The sequence below is a fragment of the Homo sapiens genome, chromosome 2, assembly GCF_000001405.40.
Source record: "Homo sapiens chromosome 2, GRCh38.p14 Primary Assembly".
In the NCBI taxonomy this organism is placed as follows: Eukaryota; Metazoa; Chordata; class Mammalia; order Primates; family Hominidae; genus Homo; species Homo sapiens.
The window spans coordinates 204,959,886-204,980,120 of record NC_000002.12 but is presented as its reverse complement, the minus strand read 5'-3'; the positions used below and the strand labels follow the sequence as shown (position 1 = coordinate 204,980,120).

Here is a 20,235-nt window from a genome sequence, read left to right as displayed (position 1 = left end):
CTTTTAGGAGTTATTTATGTATCCTGTACACTATCCTTTGTCAGACAGATGTGTTAAAATTTCTTCATAGAATCTATGGCTTTTCTTTTCAGTCTTTTAATGAACAGAAGTTCTTTATTGCACATAACCCAATTTATCAAAATTTTTCCCATGGCTATCACTTTTTGTGTTCTGTTTTAGAAACAAGCCTAACACCAAAGTTATGAAGATAGTCTTATACATTGTCTCTCATTGTTTTTTGCTTGTTTTGTTATTAATTTACCTTTAGATCTATAATCTGTCTAGCACTGATTTTTGTATATAGTGTGAGGTAGGGATATTAAATTTTTTTCTATATAGATATTGAATTGACCAGCAATACCAAATATGATGTAAGCCAAATGATTATATCTGTGAGGGGCTATTGCTATAATTTCTATTCTACTCCATTGTTCTGTTCTTGTGCCAAAATTACACTGAATCAGTTTCTATACCTTTATACATATCTGTTAAGGTAAGCTTTGCTATTCTTCAAGACTGTCTTGTCAATTCTACACTGTCCTTATCTTTGACTTGTTGTTTTCCATATATTGTCTGGTGAGTAGTGGCTGTCCATTCATATTCCTGAATATAAATGAATGAGTATATTCATATTCTTATTCAGTTGATTAACAACAAATAGCTTCAGTTGTTCCTGCCAATATATGGGTCTTTCCTGAAATAAACTCTCCACTGAATTAGGTGGTTGACATGATAAAGCATGTTCATTGGCAGGTCTCGTCTTAAAAGCACACACAGAAGGCAGACAGACAGGCTGGTTGCCCGCCTTCATCCCAGCCTTTACTCTAGGGCAGTCTAAAGATTGAATCATCTGTTGATCTGATTTTATTTACTCTCCATTTTCTCCTCCCATTTCCAGTGATTTTTTTTTTTTTTGAGACAGAGTCTCGCTCTGTCGCCTAGGCTGGACTGCAGTGGTGCAATCTCGGCTCACTGCAAGCTCCGCCTCCCAGGTTCACGCCATTCTCCTGCCTCAGCCTCCCAAGTAGGTGGGACTAAAGGCGCCCGCCACCACGCCCGGCTAATTTTTTGTATTCATTTCCAGTGATTTTATCCATCTAACTCCACCTCCTTTATTTTTACATTAAAACTGTCTTTTTTTTTTTTTTTTTTTTTGAGGCCAGGGTCTCATTTTGTCTCTCCAGGCTGGAGTGCAGTGGTGTGATCTCTGTTCACTGCAACTTCTGCCTCCCTGGTTCAAGCAATTCTCTTGCCTTAGCCTCCTGAGTAGCTGGGATTACAGGTGCCCACCACCATGCCTGGCTAATATTTTTATATTTTTAGTAGAGACAGAGTTTTGCCATGTTGGCCAAGCTGGTCTCAAACTCCTGACCTCAGGTGATCCTCCCACTTCAGCCTCCCAGAATGCTAGGATTACAGGCATGAGACACCATGCACAGCCAAAATCTGTCATTTTTATGAATGTTGGGAAAGGAGGAGGCAAAAAAGAAGTGCATTCAATCCACTTTTGCAAGCTGAAAGCTGATGTGCTTTACTGAGCAATAAAGTTGGTGGAATTATAGTCACCAAAACAGGAATATTACCTAAAGGTAGGTACAACTTTTGTGCACATGAATATCACAAAAAGATGACTACTGCCCTACTGACATATTGTGTTTATTAATAACACCCATGTTATGTCTGAATACAAATAGAAAAGGGGTGAGAACTGTTGCACAGAATTGTGAACACCTTGAGGGAAAAACTGCATTTTACTAATTTTTATATTCCAATAGAGATACTCCATGCCTAATAGACATTAATAATTATCTGTTGGCTAATTTTAAAAGCATTATTGATCTGTGTAACACTATATAATTTTAATAAAAAACAGCGCTGTAGAAAAATCTCACCTCAGAGACACACAGACTAGATGTTTGTGTTGGTTACTCTCTCCAATGCCACTCCCCAGTCTTCTATGCCCTGTTCTGGCCCCCTGGAGGCTGCTCTAATTCAGTGGCTCAGTGCCTTCTGAAGACCATTTTCCCTCTGGCTGCCTTTTGAATGTAGCCATCAGGAAGGATCAGCAGGAGACCAGTGGGTAGGAAGAGAGGAATCTTGGGGTGTTTATCTGTTCTGTTCTCTCTCTGCCAGCTTCAGCTTTGAAAGTGGCTGCACTTGCCATCCATAGGTTGCAGATTTTGATCCTCTAAGGGCCTCTCCCCAACATCTGGAGCCCTCATCAGATATGTAAGAATTTTCTCCTCTTTCCCCTTTCAGGCCTTAGCTGGTAAAGGCTCCCTATTCTTTTTTTTTTTTTTTTTTTTTTTGAGCCGGAGTCTCGCTCTGTCACCCAGGCTGGAGTGCAGTGGCGCCATCTCGGCTCACTGCAAGCTCCGCCTCCCGGGCTCACGCCATTCTCCTGCCTCAGCCTCCCGAGTAGCTGGGACTACAGGCGCCCGCCACCATGCCCAGAGAATTTTTTTTTGTATTTTTAGCGGAGACGGGGTTTCACCGTGTTAGCCAGGATGGTCTCGATCTCCTGACCTCGTGATCCACCCGCCTAGGCCTCCCAGAGTGCTGGGATTACAGGCGTGAGCCACCGCGCCCGGCCTACCAAGGCTCCCTATTCTTTTCAGAACATGGGTGTCTCATTTTCTGAAATACCTATAATCTTTTTATTTGAAATTCTCTCTAAACACACCTTTGAGTATGCCGTTTCCTGTTGGCACCCTGGCTAATACAGTGTTCTGGGTCAGTTGAGGGAGGAGAACAACATTAAAAACAAATTCCTATTCCCTGTAAAAATGGACTGTCAAACATAGACAGCATGCACTTACCAATTGTAAAAGAAAATTCTTGTGAACCATATGCCGAGTTAAGGGTGAGGACATAAAAGTAAATACTTGAGTTGAAGATAAAAAAGATCAAAGCAATTACCCTTCTATGAATCTCTAAAAACAAGCACGAAGGCATTATTTGAAACCTTTGTGGTAATTATACTATTCTGATTAATGTCCCTGGCTACTGTTTTGGCTTCAATAAGCCATTTTAGCATTTAACTTATAAGTCTGAAGAGAGAAAAACCAAAATTTAATTTTATGGTTTAGGAGAAGGCATAAGACAACCAGAATCTAAATTCGTGAAAAAGAGAGAACATGATCTTATGGGTTGAAAGTTGAAAGTGGAATAAAGGGATAACAAAAGACCAGATCAAAATATCAGTTGCATGGCTAGGTGGGACTGGCTCACCCCTGTAATCCCAGCACTTTGGGAGGCAGAGGTGGGTGGATCACTTGAGGTCAGGAGTTCGAGACCAGCCTGACCAACACGGTGAAACCCCGTCTCTACTAAAAAAAATACGAAAATTAGCTGGGTGTGATGGCCCGCACCTCTAGTCCCAGCTACTCAGGAGGCTGAGGTAGAAGAATTGCTAGAGTCCAGGGGTGGAGGTTGCAGTGAGCTGAGATCACACCACTGCACTCCAACCTGGGCCACATAGCAAGACTCCATCTCAAAAAAAAAAAAAAAAAAAAAATCAATTACCTAAATACATGGAGTTTTTTTATTTTTTCCTCCAAATGATCCATAATAAATATAATAATGAAATTAACAGTGACTAGCAGATTTATATACCACCTATTATGTGGCAGACAGTATTCTCTGTGTTTTACATGTACATATATGTATGAATTCATTCACTGCTTGCGACTATCCAATTAGGTCACTATCCAATTAGGTAATATTACCCTTGTTTTATAGGTGAGGAAACAGACTCAGTGGCTTAAGTAACTTGCCGAAAATCATGCAGCTTGTAAGTTGCAGTGCCATATTTGACCCAGGCAGGCTTGCTCCAGGGCTTGTGCTCTTAATTTCTACACTACACTGCTGTAAATATGTAAGATTGTATAATCTATGTATTTCTCCATCCTTATTTCTTTTGGAAACATTCCATTGCCTACTTGCTTCATCAAGATATCAGAGAAGATATAAAGTACAATATTTTGGGTACTAAGATAAAAGCCTAATTTTAACAAGAGACGAATTAGAGATGAAAATTTTGCCTAACCTCGCATAACTCTTCACCTTATTATAAAGTCAGAATATTACAGCATCAAGTTTGTGGCAACTATCAAACAAATGCTAAACATTATTTTTTAAAAACAGGGCAACAAGGCAGTCAAGGAAGGTACTTTAAATAAATTTAAGTTTTTAAAGGTAATGAATTGTCTGAAAAGAGAAAAAGACACTAAATGCATTCTCCAAACTTCTCAAAGACCATTTTCCAAGATGGCCAAGTTGCTCCTTCTCAATTCACCCCTTAACACAGATAAGTTTACATATAGGGCAATTATGTTTACACTATTTTGACATTCAACTGGAAAATGGTATTTTGTGTCAGAATAGAGGGACTGAAAATGAAATTTGCTTAAACCACTCAATAGCATGCTAATAAATTAGTCTGAGGTACAGCCTACAGCTTTAGAGAAAAGATCATCAATGGGTTTCCAATCAGTAATTTACACAGTACTCAGTGAAAAAATAACACAAGGAGGTAAGAAGTACGTCCAGACTAGGCACAACACATTCTTCTAAACAGTGCACCTGCTGAACTCATTTGGGTAGAAGGCTTGTCTCTATATTAACCACCTACCGTTAAAAGAGTACATCTGACTGGAGTGTCTTCAGGGAGAAGGATGGATGGATGGATGCATAGACATTTATCCACCAACCCATTAGGTCCTTGCAGATCGTGTCCGGGGAGTAGCGGACATTGTTGGTAGTCATGGAGAGACTTGAGACCTTAGTTATTTTTAATTGCTTAATAGAAGATAAAATTAAAGTTGGCCAAACTAGTGAGTCAATGAAGACTGTCGAATCAAAGACTAAAAAGTTAAAATTTTATGAATACCTTGAACCTCCCCATCAACTGAAGACCAAAGTAAAAGACAAGCAATTAACCAAGCTATGGGAAACATCACATACTGACTAATGGTACACATGAAGAGTCTGTGAGCATCTGAATTTATTATGAGGTAAGATCTTCAGTATAAGGTTTGATAACTGTGTACCCCATAATATTAGAACAATCGTTATATATGATAAAAATATATAACTTGGCTTGGAATCCTAGCCAAGTTAAGAGACTCATCCAGTAATTTATTTTAAGTCAACTTGATTGCAAGCTACTTGGGAATGAATCTGTGATGTGTATTATTTTATATTCCTTTGGTAGCCTAGCACAATGCTTTTAATCTACTGGGTTATCAATAAATAATTATTGATTAACTGAAGGGAGTGACAGGCATGCCACCATTTTCTCTGGCATTGACACTTGATATACTGATTTTCATAACTGTATCGTTAAGACCAATCATCTAAAAAGAGCAGATGTTAGCTGAGCAAATGCTGAACTCTGCCGTAAGGGCAGTTCACTGTAACACCAAGCTAAAGTCTTGAGGTCAAAGGACATTATCCCTGAACTGTGACTAAAACAAGAAGTTTTCCTCATGCTTTCAGATCTCTGGGGTAAAAAGTCTATTTGTTTTAAAAACACTAGTAAGTTTAATTGATCATCACAATTATACAGAACCAAATGACACAAGGCCATTCAGTTTGTTGCTATCTATGCCATGTTTTAGGCCAAATAGTATAAAAAAATATAAAAACAACTTTCTTTCCAACAGTTTAAAACAAAATGGACATTGAAGTTACGGCTTATTTTAGTAAATATTATCTTAAAACACCAAATATAAGTGTTATGATTTTAAATAGGTTGTGATAAGGTAATAAGCCTACCCATTTTCCCCGATCACACCGTATTCTACAAACATACATTACATAACCATAGTCAAGTCTTCCATATAAACAAAAAGAAAATAAAGAAAATAAGATGTACCACATAATTTCCTTTCCTCTAATTTTACACACCAAAACCCCCCAAAGTTCCAAATTTCTTCCATCTGTAAAGATGTTTGAAGAATCTGGCAGACAGTCTCATATTTATACAGATTAGTAATCAGAATTTATTCTGATATTTTTAGAAAGTTACTGGTATTTTCTGATAGCGATCAACATTTTCCCATTAAGCCAATGAATAAACAGAATGAGCACCGTTTTCTGTGTATCATATGATGAATACATTGTTTCAAAGATAAATTGACAGGGTGTGGTGGTGATATCTGGGAGGTCTTTGTCTTTTATCTGGTAAACATTTAACAAAAAAGGGGTAAGCAAAATAGAGATGGCTTCTCTTATGGTCACTGCTAAGCAAAGGCTGTCACCTTTCCTTATCACTTTGGGGTGTGAGAATGAACAGATCAAGCTGTTTCAGTATTTCCTACTTTCACTGGGCCAAATAAAGATCTTAGCAAAATTTCAAATAAGATACAGAAAAAGTAAATAACCAAATGTGTATATATTGGGGCATAATTCATCATAAGGCTTTATCAGATAAAGCAAATGAGAAAATCCTGAGCCAGTCACGAAAGCGTGTCCAACTCTGAGTGACTTGTCCTTAAGATGGATCTTCTGTAAATAATTAAATTAGTGGATTTTTTTTTTTTTTGCCTGCCCATCTGGGTGGAAAGAAAATTTTAAAAAATCACACATACACACTCAGAGAGAAAAAAAAAATCTTAAAGGCTAAACATTACATTTACATTGTCAGTACAAAAAGGGCTTTACCATATATTAAATTGTTAACAAGATTCCTGAATTGCAAACTGCAAAAGAAAATCAGCATGGTTACTATAAATAATTTATTTAGGAATGATTAGAAATTTGTGAGAAAATGTAATCTATTTCATGGCCACAAAGATGAATATGTATAAATAAAAAATCTGAGTCATAACTTCAACAAATTTTTTAATACAGATAAGTAATTTAAAGGCATTTTGTAATAGACATGTTAAACCTTATTAGGCTGTGAAAAGCAGTACTTGTATTTAGAGAACAGAGGGCAATTCTGTGTGGCTGTGTTTCGGCTGCCTCAGAGTGCCTGAAACAGAAGAGAGCGAGCTGGGGACTGGCTGCAAGGGAGGACGATGGTGGTTTTACTGGTGGGGGCATGGGGAAGAGGCCAGAGGTGCATGGCTTGGTTTTTTTCCTCCCCTTTATTAAAAGGACAAACTGCAAATCATTTTATCAGTGGTCAGGGGAACTACAAGAAGCTGAATATGACAGCAGTGCTGAAAATATTTTTACTACTTAGGGACTAGGCCTCTGCAAACATGACTTCACTGGACTTACTATTAAAAGCAATCTGCAAAAGAGGCTTAAAAACCCAGGGGTCTAATATCAAGTGAATGGTAGGAAAGGTGACCTTTCATTCCGTTTGTTTATTAGAGGATCTGCAGACTCCGTCTCAGTGTGGGTCCAGCATTGGTAAGAGGCCAAAGGGGAGATGGTGAACTCTGTTTTTTTAGAGGTCACATAATCAACTTAGAAAATACAGCTGGAAAAAGGACAAAAATGAGAGCTTGGTTTTATGTACTGTCTTATATTTTTGGTTAAATGGTTACATGTAAATTCCTTTTAATAATTTTCTATTTTATTTGAGTACAACCAACTTAGTATAAATTTAACTGCTAAACTTAGCCATCAGATATAGCACACAAAATTAAAGAGACAAAAGGGTAACTGAAGCAGGTAGAAAAAAAAAGAAAATTGAAATAAGACTAAAATACAAAAGTTAACTGAATATAAAACAAAAAAATGAAAATACAAGTTCTGTTAGGATGGTGGTAATTTTTATTTTTCTGAAGTGTAACACTATATAATTTTAATAAGTAATATCTCATTTAAAATGCATTTATAAAACTATAGCATGTTCTCAAGCAAACTTCATCATTTTATTTTAACAAAATGGTAGGAAGTGATCAACTATGAGGCCTATATATATTCATCTGCAAAAGGAGGTAATGCCAGGCATATTCAAAATTGTATATTTAAAATATTGCTCATAGTTTTACTCAATACAAACAAAAATTACTCCCATATGGTAATTACCTTTTAATATTTTTTAGGGGCTACTTGTCTTTAGGTATTGACTTTATTCTTTAACTAGTACCACTGGCCCTTTTACAAAGTATTAATTTTAAATATTCAATGAATAACGTGACATTCTTCCACAGAGCTACTTTTTCACTACTCTGAAAACAAAATCTAAAATAAAAATCAAAACAGCCAAGGCGTGGTGGCTCATGCTTTGGGAGGCTGAGGAAGAGGACTGCTTGAGGCCAGGAGTTCATGATCAGCCTGAGCAACATAGCAAGACCCATTGCTACAAAAAAAAAAAAAAAAAAATTAAAACAAAACAACAGTAGCAAAAGAGTGGTGCTCAAAATGGGTTAGAAACACTATAGCCTCCTTAGTCCTGATTTAGTTATAGTCACACCAGAAAGCAAGCACACACTTTGTTGACTATATGGCTATGACTGATTGATGACACCCTAGCAAGGTTACCATAGCTAATTACAACATTATTCATTTAAGCCTTCATGGAGGGGGAAAAAAAAAACAGACTCCCAGGGAAGGAAAGGAAAAAAAAAGAAAGAAAAACTATTCTATAACTGCTAACTTTTGAATAATCAGCCTCAACAGGAAACAAACAGGATGAAACTCAATGACCAAATTGTAACTTATGAATTCATCTACGCAATTTTAACTCTGGGTAATTTTAACTCTGGGTTTCACAGCCTACAGCAAAGAGCTTCCAACAACAAGGAACCCTCACATGCTTATATGCTTTGTAGTCAGAATTCAAAGGCTTCATCAGAAGCATAACCCATCCCTGAGCTTTAGTTCTGCTATGTGTGTGGTGTGAGTGTGTTTGTCTAGGATCAGATGCCAATACTTAAACTCACATTATGGGCACAGCAGCTACTTACACACAGCAGCCTAATTAAAGGAATAAACTTCCCCTTTCTTTACGTTTTCCTGAAGATCAGCGCCATAAAGGGATTTGGTTTGCTTAAAAATTGAGAAAAATGTTCCCATATGTTTCCTTTATGCAGTAAATTAGTCAAAATCAGATAGAAAATGGTCACAATTTTCAACAGGAATCTATAGCTACACAGTATTTGCTGAACACCACTGCAAAGAAAGAGAACTCAGTGTTTTGAAAATAATGATATTATAACAAACACATAATCATAATTTCCATTTCGGTTTTGAAGAATCACAAACACACATGGAAACAATAAAGCATCTGAGGCACCTTTCAGCTTTCAAGTCTCAAAAACAAGAATCACTTTCAAATAGAAAGTAGCTCATCTTCAAAGTTTAACACACAAGAGGAGAATAAAGCTAATACCACTTCAACTCCAAACTTAGATTACTTTATATCAAGGTAATCTAGATCACAAGCATGGTAACAGCCAAGTTTAAAGTACTTTTTATCCTGAAAAACTATTTAAATTACATTGCTAAAATAATTTAACTAAATAAATATTTTCCCATGAAAGCTTGAACCCAAATTAGCAAATTTCAATCAAGAAGTACTGAAAAAAATTATCAAAAGGTACAAAATAAAAAACTACTAATTAATTGGGGCCATAGCAGGGAAATTGGCAGAGGCATGGAGTTGGATTCAAACTCAGCTTGGTATTAATAAAACACTCAAGGAACCATCATGGCCCATTGGAGAAAGGACAGCTTATTTTATAGATGAGGAAACTGTGGCCCAGGGAGATATGGTGGTGACACATCAGGGAGTGACCTGGATAGCCTTGGTTTTCAATTTTTACTTTGCTAGAATGTGTCCCAAATTTGTCCTGATTTATTTTTTGTTTGGAAAAAGTTGGTTCTGATAGAGATAGGTTAAATGACTTATCCTGATCACACAGCTAGATCAAATACTGCAGGGTCTAGAACTAGCTCCATATCACTGACTCTCAAGGGACAAAGATTGGGTTGGGCCAACCTTGATCTATGGCCACAAAAAGCCTCTTATGGAACAGTAGGTGGTCAGGTACTAATCATGAAGGCAGTGTAGGGACTAGTCAGGGGAAGGACCGGGAGACTCCCACCCTCCTAAACTTCAAAATAATTTTCCTCACTAATTTGTCTTTTTTACAGATGGCCCTATATGTACATACTTAAAAAATCAGAAAGTCTATTAAAATATCCACGTTATTAAAAAAAACCCCACATCTATGGATCCCATTAGTATATTGGTTTTAGTGGAACTTTCCTACACATACAAACACACACACACACACACGGGATGAGAAGATAAGAAGACAGAAGCAAACTCATTTCTGAAATGTATAGGATTTAAAAGACATTTTCTCCACCTCCATTTCCTGGTCTTGTTCTCTCAGTAGCTTTTGATTTATACCTATTCATAGTATCTATTTATTAATTTACACTCTACTCAATTCCAAAAGGATGTGAGGTGCTATCACATATAGTACCTAAAATATATGGATAATTGAAATCTACAATTAATTTTTAAAAAGTCATGCAACTGAACAAGCACTGTTCTAGAAGCCAAGAAATGTGGGTTCCAGTTCTAGTTCCTTATTCAACATCAGAGTACACATTGAATTTTAACTTTTATTTGCTCATTTGTAAAATAATATCGATTACCTACACAATTGCTAATTATAAAATTCTGTGGAACTGCATATTTCTAGGTCAGCATTTCACAAACGTTTTTCTGAGGCATGCATACATCTTTTGAGTGGAGGTGAGGTTTTGGGGTAGATAAGCATTGGGATTCTGTTTATTGGCTACTTTCTAGACTTCTTCACCCTTTCTTCCACACTAGCATAACCAATCCTATTTGTCCAAAGATGGAGAATGAACAAATTTAAATAGCATCTAGAACTTAAGCGCTCAATAAATGTTATTTATTAACTAGAATCAAGCATCCATTGAAACCCTAATACATGCTCAGAAGAACCATGGGGTTTCACAGAGAAGACTTGGAAAATTCTCGAACTATAAATTTTTAAGTCCAAATAGATCATGTGAATATGATTCTTTCCAATTTCGCCTGGGATTTTGGTTACCACATCTCATCATTTAAATGAACTCTCAGGCCAGCAATCTCTGTACTATATGGTAACATGCTTTGGCTGATTTCAGAGCCACAGAATCTTAAAGTGTGAAAGTGATTTGCTACTTAGGGCTGAATCCCCAGGGTTCAGTCATTCAGCATTACATTAGAAAATCCATTAGAAAATAAATGATAGGAAATAATTTAGATGAATGAGGTTGGAATTATGTGGTTGCCCACTTGATTTAAAACTCATCTTACGAATTAAAAATATATACCCCATCAGCTTATAGGGCATGAGACTATGAACCCCTTTATGTCAGTAGATTTCTGCTGTTCGTCTTTGTAACCCTTGATTGTTAGATGAAGAATTAAGAAATAATACTTACTGTAAGCCTACTGTACTGTTTTAAAGATTTGGACAAGGCTTCATGAAGAAGGTCATATTTGAGCTTGAACTTAAAAGGTGCATATGAGTTCACTATACAGTAAAGAGACAAAGGAATGAGCCAGCTAAAGAGAACAGTATCTGCAAAGGCACAGAGGTTTGAAGGTGGTAAATTTGGAATGGCAAGTGGTTCACAGTGGCTGCAAGTTAAGGTGACTGTGAAAGACTGGCCAGCAATAAAGGTGGGCAGAGAGGAAGCAGCTAGATCATGAAGGGCCTGGGAATATGAATATGCATGCATAAGTATTACATCCTGGAAGATAAAGAAAGAATGGGAGGAGTCAACCTCTGTATGCATTACATGGAGAAGGTGGTTGTTGGTTTTTAACAGAATATTGTTGATGGTTATCTTGTGTTGGAAAAAGAAATATAAAAATTATACTGAACACTGAGTATATTTTGATATCAGATTCCAGAAAAACATAAATTTTGGGTGCTCAATGTGATGTAATCACAAAAATCTCTTGATTCCTAATATTTGTTGAATTGTGTCTGCTTAATTAAGAAAAGCAATGTAAGCCAATGAAGATTAAATTTGCTATTTTCTTAAGAAAGTGGCCTTAAGAGTGAGAAAACCAGTAAAAAATTAAGCCCTATTTCTCTTGTACCAGGTTGGGTGAATGAGCTGTGAAAAGTACAACCAGTTCCAATGGCTACACTAGCTGACTGGGGAAGGGAGATGAAGGGCCTGGGTTCAATGGCTGACATTTCATGAGCACCCTGTTAGGAGGAACTGCTGGGGCACAGGTGCTGCAAAACTCCTCTCACCGCCCCTCCCATTCTTCACCTAAGCAGGCTTTCAGGGTGGACCAGACAGGACAGCCAGGTCACACTCCCAGAAGTGCCATCAATACTGCCTCTACTGCCAACCACATCTCTCCATCTGGAGGTGCACAGCCTATGGCCACATCCTGCCCCGGAGCCAACAACAGGAAAACAGAATGGGTGGAGACCAAAGCTGGCTGTGTTGCTTCCTTCTTTAACTTCGCTATCTGAAAAACCTGACAAATATGTTTTTTCTTTGCTTTTTAAGTTCCAGAAATGCAAAGTACTCAAACTGCTAGAACCATGAAAGTGGGTAAGGGATGATTTTTTTACGTCATTCATCCTTGCCCAAATTTCTCCTGCTGATTCAGAGGAACCATCTGCATCAGCTTGCTAACGAGTTTAGATATGGTTCTCAGGGTGATGGGAAGCCAGTGAAGGTCGTTAAGCAGGGGAGTTATATTACATAATCAGATTTGTGATTTAGAAAGGCAGCTCTGGCAACAGTAGGGACTGGAGAAAGCACACAGTGTAAAGAAAGAGGTCAGTCTGAGGCCTCTGCAATAGTCTAATTGATGGCAAAGCTCTGGCCTGCTGTGGTGGCTGTGGACAAGGAAGCTGAATAGCTGACAGAGTGGGGGAGGTAGAAGGAAACGGTGGAACTGGAGGTGATGCCAAGGTTTCAGGCCAAATGGTTGGAAGGGAATGTTTCCCACCTAACAGTGAGCTAGTCTCATCATTTAATCTGGTACTAAGTGAAATGAGATTGTAGACCAAGGAGTTTAGTATTTTCAGGGTTTTGGCATATATTCTCAAAGTAAACCCCAAGACAGTTATATTAGTTGGTTGTTTTAGGAATTGCATGTCAGAGGCAGCACAGCAAAATGGTTTCTCACACCACAGCCAGCAACAGTTCAAATTCTGGCTCTGCCACCTAATAGCTATGGGATTTCTGCTGAGTTACTAAACTTCTCTGTACCTATTCCTCAACTCTTAAACGATAAAAATAATAAAAGCCGACTAATTAAGTATGACGAGGCTTAAATAAATGAGTTATTATGAGTAAGGGATTTAGATGGTGTGTACTCATGTAATAAATATTGTTTTCTCTGACTTATCAAAAATCATATGGAAGAAGTAGACAGTCCACACTTTCAAAGAAGGGGAATCTCGGCTGACTTTTTTTTCTTGCATTCGATATTATGTTGTTTCAATATTCCAACAAAAAAGCTGAAGAAAACAATCTTTTTTCCCTGACAAAGCTCATAAGAGAGAGGTGAAAACAAATTCTCCGGCACAGAAGTACTCTGAGGTTCGGCCATTTGAAGACCACAGTGCTTGCTTATAAATAGAATATTAAAATAAGCAAGAGCAATTTTCTCCTTTCGTCTTCCCTTATTGCCTAATTTTCCTCTCATACCATTTGCATAATGGATAAAAAGGCATCCATTATGCAAATGAATGATGGGGCTGTAAGGTTGCTGAAGCCACAAGGCTGGCTCCAGATGAAGAGAAGCTGCCACAAAGCCCTCCAGCAGCCACGTTCCAGCAGACTGCTTCACTAGCTCGGTTCCAAAAGATACAGGAAAACCCACTTAGACCATAGGTCATTAATTTCCATTTGGTTTATTTTAAAAGGGGCACTACAGATGCTTTTCCAAAAATCAGTACAAAATATGGATTGTCAGCATTAGAGTATGTAAATTTAACTTTACAGTATATATTTTATTTCAAATGGGAAAATGAGTACTATGTACGATTCTAACCATTTTAAGCATATGTTTTGCTTTAAAAAGAATAAGAAGCTGACCTTTGCAAAGTGGAATAAGCCTCTGTTCTTCTAGCTTGAGAATTCCCTCATAACAGGTGCTCTAAGTAGTCTCAAAATGTTGCACAAACATTCCACAGGCATAAAAAGTTGTTTGAAATACCAAGATATTAGTGGATTTTCAAAAACTTCATGCAGTTAAATTGAGCTAAATTTATCTTTAGGAGGTATCACCAAAACAGACATGTTATTTCTCTTGGAGTTGTAAACTGATTGAAACTTTAGAATAATATTTACTTTCTCATTCTACAAATATAATGAAAAATATTTCTAAGCAAAATTACTGGATGAATTGTCTTGTCTGAATAAATCATCAGAAAAGAATTTCAAAACTAACTTCAAAACATTTCCCCCAGATTCTGAGATTATAGTTTGGGCAGAAAAAGACTGAGGCTAAGAAAATAAAGTGACCTTTATTTCTAGCATGGATTCTTTGATAAACCTTGGCTTTTCCCAAATGAGTTTTTTTCAGGAATTTTTTAAAAAGTTATACTCATATGATACAGGCAAACTTCATCATTTAGCATCTGACTCCCCCGTGTTACTTCGAGGGCATACAATTCTGCTTCACCTTCAGTTCAAGAAAAAGCTGCATCCACTTACCCAAGCAGCAGTGGCTGCAAAGAGCTATGTAAAAAAATAATTTAAAGAAAAGATAAACCACGATATAAAATATTAACAGGATGAAAGTCACAAAGAAGAAACAATGCCTAATCAACAAGATGACGGATCTTCAGTCAGGTGAAAAGAATATCATAAACATTACACATACCTAGTTTTAGAGCAGAAGGGGTTACTTCAATCTCCCCACCAATTGGCTTAAATGCGGCCAGTTGGGCGGCCACTTCTGTCTCAAAAGCATCTGGGCTCTGCCGATCTGCAGGGTTTCCACTGGGGCTCTCAATCTTGTGGAGTGGTTCTTGTTCTTCAAACACAGCAATCAGCTACAAACAAATCCAACAACACTAATTACTTTGTAGGACATGCATACCACACGGACACTATCTAGCTGAACGTGATCTTTATTTGGTTGCAAAGAAAATCGCCTCATCAAACTTAAAATGTTAATGTTACTATACCACAACTCTTAATTTTTCAATAATATTATGTCTATAAGCACCATGGTCAAGAAATAATAAATACTGGTTTATTCATTTGTTTATTTTGTCTATTACTGAAAAATAGAACCAATTTTGGCCCACTCTCTTAAAGGAATGAAATGGCTGCTTCCCCTTCCCACTACCCCACCTTCCCTAAAATGCCTAAAATGACTTCATTAACTCTTTATTAAAGAGTGCTTCCAAAAATGAAAGTTGAATATGCATTGAATAATAGACTTAAATAGTATAGGGAGGTTATTCCAGTCTCGGAGACCTAAAACACATTACAAGATGCCTAATTGTATCTGTCCCTGTAGATACACTCTACATACATATATACATACATACATTGTGTGAATACTTATATACAATTTGTGCTGATCTTGCATAAATAGGTATCCCATTTTTGTACATGCCTTTAATTTTGTTCTTTTCCTTCATGACTGACTCTGTGTTGACTGGTTTAAGTCCAATGGAATGCTAAGTCCAATAAGACTCGACATCCTTACTTTTAATCTAATTATATGTCAATCTTATTTTACGTGAGAACTATGCTTTTTACTGTTAATATAAAAACTCTAAATTGTTCATTTCCAAGTCATTTTTTCCTTAAAATAAGGGCAAGGTATCTTTAAAAATTCAAGTAATCACACAGACACTACTGTATAGACAGTGACGACGGCTCTGCTGAAACTGCACTTTTGGCCAACAGACAGCACCAACATTCAGAAACTTCAAGGGTTTCTCATCAGCTGATGTAGAAAAGTCCAAATGTGAGTAAATGAGGCAGCTACAGGATGCTACTGTCATTCCAAAAAGTGCAATGTGTGTAAATGTGAAAACCAGCAGTACATCTTTAGATATTTTCTATTCATTAAGTAAAACAAACCTACTTATGATTCAAGCATTTATTCAGGAAAGACACTCAGAGCCCCAGTCATAGGGGAACCCTGTTGGCAATATTATTAATAACAGAAATGCAGGGTTAACCAATCAAAACATCATAAATTTCAAGTTCGATCTTTCAAAAGAAATGAATACAATTAAGGATATGCAAATTCGCCATTCAAAAATAATTTTCATAACTGACTACTCATTTCCAGTATGGAGACTTCTTTAATTGGAAAATCCAACAATCCTCTTGCCACAGAAAAGAAATGCTACTCCCAAGGCATTATTTTTAATTCTTGAAATTGAGCACATGCATTTTCTATTTGTAACTGGTAGCACTGATGAACTTATTGGAGATAAGACTTAAATATATTAATAATAATGAAAGATTATTCTAGTATAAAAAAATCAGTAGAACGATATCTTTCTCATCATCCAGCCAGAATGAGTTTAACACTTTAAATCTTGAAAAGGAAAATGAAATCAACTTTTTAATGTGGTGGATGTGTGATTTTCATCACTATTTCTGTTATATAATAACTTCAATTTTGTGTATTCATTAATTCTAACATATATTAGTAATGTTCATTTTAACATTTAACATACCAATCAACTAGGCAATGGCATATTATATTGGTACTATGAACAGTTTAGTGTAAGCTAAGTTATATCTTACTCTTCTTTCATATGATATCCTTAACTCAGTATAACCCATGTGCCTTAAATACTGGAAAAACGAGAAAAAATAGAACATCAACTAGAAGTATAATACAAAAGCTTAAAAGTGATAACTCGTAAGATAAATATTTTTTCTTAAGATACTTTGCTGTTTTCCATACATTTTATCCACATAAGAATACAGTGTATGCAGTAAGAATATTATACCTATTTATCAAATGGTAGAACAGAGTAGCTCCGAAGTTTTGTTTCCCAAGGTCACTGACTAAATGGTAGCTGGTAGTGGAATCTAGTCTTTTTAATTTTCAATCCAGAGAAAGTATTTTCCTATACTGTAGCTGTTTTCCAAAAAGAAAGCTGTAAAAAGAGAGGCTACAATGAAGACTGTCTACTGTCTGTAATTTGTCCATTAGCGTGTTATACCCTAAAGAATGTGAATTCCACTTTTTGGAGACACAGGCAAAACGTAACTTTTCTTGAAGATGATAATAGTAAGACCTGATGCTCCCCAAATCTCATAAGCTCTTTGATTAAAATCAATTGCTTAGACTGTTTCCCAATTAGCACCTAGTTATGGTGAATGGATGAAAAAGTCTGTACTCCTGGGAAGAAGAGGACCAGCTCCTGACCTGTCATGGCTCCCATGGTTGCTTGCTGAACAGAGACTCTGCATCCAGTCTTCATCTCAACATCTACAATATACACAGACTTAATGCTTGTTTCAACATTGATAACTGGTTTAAATCATATGTTGCAGGTCCTTGTTAACTAAATTACTTCAGTCATCTGAACACCTACATTCCTCGGTAGCAGACTCCCCAGAAGACAGTGTTACAGAGACTCATTAATTAACATAAACCACTGTTCTAGTCCCTCAACAGAATGCATGCTGGTTTTTAAAGAATCTAGTGCATGGAAATGGCCTTCCCTCCTTGCCTTTAAACCCATTCAAAGTTATCTTTCCCACAGAGATGCGCTGAACATGAAAGAAGGAATTCTATTTAAAAAGCTTTTGTGTTAAGGTTTCGCTTAGAGTAAACTTGTATGGCATGCAGAAGAACTTCCACTGACACCTCAGGGGCTGCAGTAACCCACACCCTACACAATACAAACAGGCAATGTTGGATTGGATGATTCCTCCTCTGCTGCCTTCTCTCTCCTTCTGGTCTGCCCTCCAGTCTCCTTCTATGATGCCAGTGTCCTCATGCCACCTACTGCAGTGCTGGCATTTCCAGGAGACCCCATAATCCAAAATGATCTGTTTACACAATCTTTACTTCCAGTCAAAACTCCTGTTCCCACAAGATCTCTGTCAGTATTTAAGCATCTAATCCCCAGATAGACACAGGAAGGTCAGTCTATGAATATGCTAGAAGTTCTCCCATCAAACAAACCAATGACCTTCTCAGGATCCACTTACCACAGGTCCCACCCCATTTTTTGCCTCCCCTCTAAAGCAAAAATTTGAAAGTGCTGTCTACACAGCAGTTTCCAGTATCTCTCCTCCCATTCTTTAATGAAGCCACTCTAGTCAGGCTCTCACCCCTCAACTCCACTGAAACTGCTCTTATCAAGGTCAAAAATAATCTCTAGATTCCTAAATCCAAAGGTGCTTCTCTGGCTTTACTTCAGGACACAGGTGATTACTGCCTTCTCAAAGTACTTTCTGCACTTGGATTCCAGGGCACCAGTCTCTTGGTATACCCTTATTTCTCTGGGCCCCCATCAAGTTTTCTTTTGGTTTTTCTTCGTCATCTTCCACATTTAGTCTCTAAAAATGTTGAAGAGCATATGTCTAAATTTGTTTAGTGATATCATCTGTTTCATGGGTTAATATAACTCTATCGGCTGATAAATTCAAAATTTTAAGTGGTGCAACCCAGACCTTCTATAACTCCAGGCTCATTTCCTAATCTAACATGTCAAAAATGGAAAAAGTGACCTTTCAAAGCTCTTTCCATAGCTCTTTACATCCCAATTAATGGCAATTCATCCTTCTAAGTTGCTCAGGCCAAACACCTTGTAGCAATCCTTCAACTCTCTTTCTCTCCCCTCTTGCTCTGTCTCCCATACACTCTATTTGACCACTTCTCACCACCTCCAGTGTCACCACTTTGGACCCAGCTACCATGTGTTTCTTAACAGCCCCCTGACTAGTTCCCTTGTTTCTACCCACTGCCTCTTTCCCCTGCGCGCAACACAGCAGCCAGACTGACCTTGCTAGCATGAATTGGATCACCTGTCTCCTCTGATGAGACTCCTTTAATACTTTCCCACCTCACTTGAAGAAAAGCCTAAGTCTCTGCAATGGCCCAGAAGGTCACTTGCTCCTGTTCCATTTCTGACGTCGTGTTCTGCTGATCCCGCCCCTTGTTCTCAGGACTCCATCCAGCTGCACTATTGTCTTTGTACCTGCCTCAGGGTCTTTGCACTTGCTGTTCTCTCTGCCAGAAACAGTCTTCCACCAGGCACCTGCAAGGCTTCTTCCTCGATCTTTCAGATCTTTAATCAAATGCCAGCCTTTCTCTGGCTACACTAAATTGCAGCATCTTCATTACTCTCTGTATTCTCCGCCTTTGTTTTATTTTATACCATGTGTATCATCCTGTCAGCATCACAGCTCTTCTTATTTTATTGCCTGTCTCCGCACCTCACTAGAATGTAAGCTCCATGAGAACCCTGAGTTTGTTATTGATTGTGTATCCCCATTGGCTCGAAGAGTGAATATGCCATCATAGGTGCTCAATGTAAATTTGCTGAAAAAAATTAGTGAAATATGAGGCAAACAGATACTAAAACCTAACACAACAACAAAAGACACCTAGATTTTTCACATGTTTTTAGAATAAACATTCAAATATTTTTTTAAAAAATTAAATGAATGTGTATAAATGATCCATATTTAATCTTAAGATGCTCTAGGTATCATCATCATCATTATTGTTGGTTTGGCTTTGGAAATTATGGCCGATAAATTCCTCCTTTTTTATTCAACACTGGGGGAAATTGCTTCTGCCACATCATACTCCAAAACTGGAGATTATCTATCTTCTCTTTCCTTTTCAGGCTCACTTTCAAAACGGGGAGTCAGCCCATTTGGTCACTGGATGAAGCAGGATGCAGGCTGAATGGAGAGGTGGTGGAGTTCGCAGTCTGTCCCAGGCACTCCCTCACCCAGCTATCTGCCAATACACCACTTTGATTTATCTATTGTAAAGCTTTTTAAAAGTGTCCCTTAAAGTAGCTTAAGGACAAATGTGAATAAAACTTCACAGCAAGTGGAGATGCAGCCTGAAGAGGCACGTCATAAGCTCAACAGTGATGTGTCCAGCTTTATTTTCAAAGTCGTGAAAATTTCACATTTTAGACCCTAACAGCTTTCTGTACTTCTTTTCAATATGAAAAGATTGCATGATTAAGGCATCAGGAAAGTGAAATGTTTATCTCATGATTTGGGTAACCCTGTTTGAGAGAAAGAGGTTCACAGGAACATATCTACCTTCTAAACAGGAGTTAGGAAAACACATGGAAATAAATACAT

At 37.4% G+C, this 20,235-nt stretch overlaps 1 protein-coding gene across 16 annotated transcripts in view; it reads right to left on the bottom strand.

Moving 5' to 3' along the window:
- The window catches only part of PARD3B (par-3 family cell polarity regulator beta), a 1,074,688-nt gene that overhangs the window by 640,042 nt on the left and 414,411 nt on the right, over positions 1-20,235 (bottom strand). For all 16 annotated transcript variants that reach the window (XM_047443208.1, NM_001302769.2, NM_205863.4 and 13 more), the window contains one exon: positions 14,798-14,969. In XM_047443208.1, coding sequence (XP_047299164.1) covers positions 14,798-14,969 — 172 coding nt within the window. The remainder of the gene's footprint in view (positions 1-14,797; positions 14,970-20,235) is intronic.